The following is a 4,290-nucleotide window of genomic DNA, read 5'->3' on the forward strand; positions in this document are numbered from 1 at the left end:
TGAATTTGTACAAATTCTAAGTAGAATTTGCCAATTTGAGGGGCTGCCTTTTTCCTGGCCCCTCTCTGTTATGCTAGAGAAGGTGTGGTCAGTGATCTCAGGCAGTCCTTCCTGTTGGGGCTTGAGTTTTTATTGACTGCCTCTCTCCCAGCTTGGAACCTAGGGCTCCTCTGTCCTGCTCTGTTTTTAGTAGGTGTTAGGGGTAGGGCTAGTGAGGGGGAAGCTGAGCTTATCCTGTCCTGACACAAAATAACCCCAAATGGGATGGCTTCTACACTCAGGAGGCTATGGGTGCTCCCCTTAGCTCTGGGAAGCTGAGCCACAAGGCATCCCCACCCCAAGGATGCTCCTGGCTGAAACAGTTGCTTCAGAGGTGGAAACCCAGGCCTGGGCCATCACTGCAGGTGTGGACAGGTGGGGTGGGCTGGGAGCCACTGCTCTCATTCATCCTATACAGAGCCCTGGCCCCAACGATCTGCACCCCCAGGTCCCCTCTTTTCCGAATGTCCTTTGTCCCTTCCGAATCCACAACTTGTCCATGGGGCAGCCCCATAGGATGAGGGAGTTCCCCAGTCCTGACCCCAGTGCTAGCTCTGAAGAATTCTGTCACCTCTCAGAACCTGGGACCTCCCTGTGAACGCACTGTAGGCCTGTGGACATTCATGAAAGATGTGGGTTGGGAGCAGCTGGTCCGGGGCCTCAGGGAGCCCCTTTGTTGCACCCCCAAACTCAGGCCAAAACCTTGAGTCCCTCCCTCCCCCTCATGCCTTCCCTCTTCCCTGCCTTCCTTTCCCCCAGACCCCTCCCCCTGCACCCTCTCAGTGCTTCAAGAACTCCCTCAGCTCCTATGCAAAGGGCCAAGGGTGCCTGCCCAGTGATGGAAACACTGAGAGTGCAGGAACAGAGGCAAACTCACAGGACAGAGGGGCACAAGACTTGTGCCCTGGCACACAAGGAGGTATCCCGTGGTGGAGACGAAGACTCCAGTCACAGAGAAGAGGGTTGCTCCCATACACAGAAAATGAAACTGTCCAGGCACTGAAAAGAAATGTGGGGTTCCCCTCCTGTTCTTGGTGTGAGGATAGCCTCTGTCAGCACAGAACCCCATGGGGCAGCCTGGATAGGCATTTGGGCCCCATGGGTTGGGGTCCTCAGGGGGCTGTCCGGGGACCAGGGGCAGGCTGACATCCCTTGGTGCATTGGGCAAGCAGCAGTGATGACCCCCAGAAGTACATGGCCTACCGCGTCCATTATCCCACCATCGTACAGCTGGCCAGCTACCAGCGAGCGGCTGGCACTGTGCAGGCACCATCCAGTGCTTCCTGTCCCTCGTCCCCAAATAAAGAGCATGTTAGCTTTCTTTCTTTCTTTTTTTTTTTTTTTTTTGAGTTGGAGTCTCGCTCTGTTGCCCAGGCTGGAGTGCAGTGGCGCAACCTTGGCTCCCTGCAAGCTCCGCCTCCCGGGTTCACGCCATTCTCCTGCCTCAGCCTCCCGAGTAGCTGGGACTACAGGCTCCCGCCACCACACCCAGCTAATTTTTTGTGTTTTTTAGTAGAGACGGGGTTTCACCATGTTAGCCAGGATGGTCTCTGTCTCCTGAACTTGTGATCCGCCTGCCTCGGCCTCCCAAAGTGCTGGGATTACAGGCGTGAGCCACCATGCCTGGCAAAGGGCGTGTTAGCTTTCTGCATGGGACGTGTGTGCCAGGTGCAGCCTCTAGTTGCCATCCGTCTGGGTTGGCATCTCAGTCCCCTTGTGCCCCACTCTGCCCATGGACTCAACATCCCAACTGTGGAAGACACAGGGTCAGAGCCAAGGACAAGGAGTCCCTGTGCCTCAGAGAACAGGACAAGCCCTGGTAGGGACTGGGGCTCCACAGCGCAGCCCAGCTGGACCGTGTGTCTAGCCCAGAGCCGGGCCATCCAGCTCCCTCTCCCTGCTCCCTCACCAGTGCTGGCTTCTCTGTCCCTTCACCAGAGTCTTGAGGCCTTGAGACATACTTTGGGACCACTGCATCACTCACTCCACTTCCTCTCCCTGCACCTCCAGGTCCCCCGCTTCAGCTCACAATACCCCTCAGGACAGGGCACTCACCCCATCCAAAGCTCCTCCCACTGCTGGATGTACCTGCTGGGGCGACCCCCCAGACAGGGCCTTGCCCAGACAGTGCCCCCTTTAGCAGCCCCTTTCTGTCCCCAATGTCAGTGCCCACCCCCCGCCCAGTTCTCAGTGCCCAGGATCCCCGAGGCTCAGATGGGCAGATCAGCAGGGGCACGTGGAGCTCCCACAGCACTCCGCAGGACGGGACCCACCCAGAAAGCATGTGGGTGGGGGGCCCTTTTCCAGGACCCAGGCCCACAGGGCTCTTGTCCCAGCCTGGAGGGGATGGGCGGGTAACAGGTACCAGCCCCTCTACCCATGTGGACACCCAGCTGGGCATGTACTCCCACAGGGCAGGGCGTGGGCAGGTAGCACCCAAGCTCTCTGATCTCTTACAAGGACACAAATCCTATTGGATCAGGGCCCACCCTTATGACCTCACTTAACCTTTACCATCTCCTTATAGGCCTTGTCTGCAAATACAGTCAGGTTGGGCATTAGAACTTCAGCATCTAATATTGGGGGTGGGGAGCGGGACACAATTCAGTCCTTAGCCCTCTCCTTCCTCAGGACTCCAGCCACATCATGCACAGAACTATGGCCTGTATCCCATGGTGCTCCTCAGTACAGTCTGGGATACATTCTCAGAAATGAATCATTAGGTGATTTCATTGTTGTGAGAAGATCATAGGGTGTATGTAGACAAACCTAGACGGTGTAGCCTACTGCACACCCAGATCACGTGGTACAGCATATTGTCCCTCAGCTACAGACCATATAGCAAGTATTTGTGCATCTAAACACAGAAAAGCTACAGTAAAAATATGACATTATAATCATATGGGACCACTGTTGTATATGCAGTCTGTCATTGACCAAAACATCATTATATGCCGCATGACTATAATATTTATTTTTCTGATTACAAAAGTAACACATAATCCCGGTAGAAAGTAAATCTTACTAGTACCAATCCTCCATAATTGGGGATACTTCAAATTTTCATTATTATAAATAGCACTTCAATCAACACGTTTAGCCATCAGTCTCTTTTTGCATTTCTAGTTATTTCTCTGGAGCTGATGAGTCAAATGATTGGATCAAAGGACATGTGCAGTTGTGGACTCTTGCTGCATGATAAATTGCCTTCCAAAAGGTTGTGCCAGTTAGCATTCCCACAAGTAGAGTTTGGGAATGCCAGTTGCACACCTCCTTATATTTTAATAGTTTCCTGAGGTCACCAGAACATGAACATCTGGAGGACAGCAGCTTGCTTGGGCATCACGGACCCCATGTCCAGCTCAATGTACAGCACATAGTAGGGAATTGCGTTACATGAACGAAGATGTTTTTGATTAACTTTCTGGAAACAGTCTTAAAATTAGAGAAAAGTTCTAAGTTTTACACAAAGAACATTTTCCCCCAGAAACATTTGAGAGTAAATCACCCCAGATTACTTTGGTGAGTGTTGCTACGGGTCAGAACATTCTAACTACAATGCAACTTTCATAATCAGAAAGTTAATATGAATACATTGTTAGGTAATACATTCTGTTATGTAACCCTCAGATTCTTTTTAAGTTTTATTACTTGTCTGTAATGTCCTTTACAGCAAAAGGATCTCATTCAAATTCATGGATTGCATTTAGTTGTCATGTCTCTTAGACTCCTTCAGTCTGGAACAGCTCCTCAGTCTTTCCTTGACCTTCATGACCTTTACTCTTTTGAAAAGCAAAGTCCAGTAATGTAGAAATTTCCTCAGTTGGGTTTCTCTGATGTTTCTTTTAGTATTAGACTTGGACCATACATTTTTTGATGAGTATCCTGTGATCTCATTGCATCTTACCATGGGACCTACAATTTTGATTTGTTTTGTTATTGGTGATGTTAGCCTTGATCACCAATGGTGGCATATGCTGGGTTTCTCCTCTGTCATGTTATTTTTTCACCTTGTAATTAATTTGTATTTTGTGAGGAGGAAATTTGAGACTATGGAAATACATCTGTTCCTCATTAGACTTTCAATTTACTCATTTACTGGTATCAACATGGATTCATGGCTTATTTCATTCAGTGGGTTATAATTTGTTAATATTTTTTAAATCAGCTTTTCTTTTTAGAAATGCTTTATTTTTACAATTTCAGATTTAGAGAAAAAAATTATAAGAATTGTACAAAAAATTCTTGGAT

Source organism: Homo sapiens, chromosome 2 (assembly GCF_000001405.40).
Source record: "Homo sapiens chromosome 2, GRCh38.p14 Primary Assembly".
In the NCBI taxonomy this organism is placed as follows: Eukaryota; Metazoa; Chordata; class Mammalia; order Primates; family Hominidae; genus Homo; species Homo sapiens.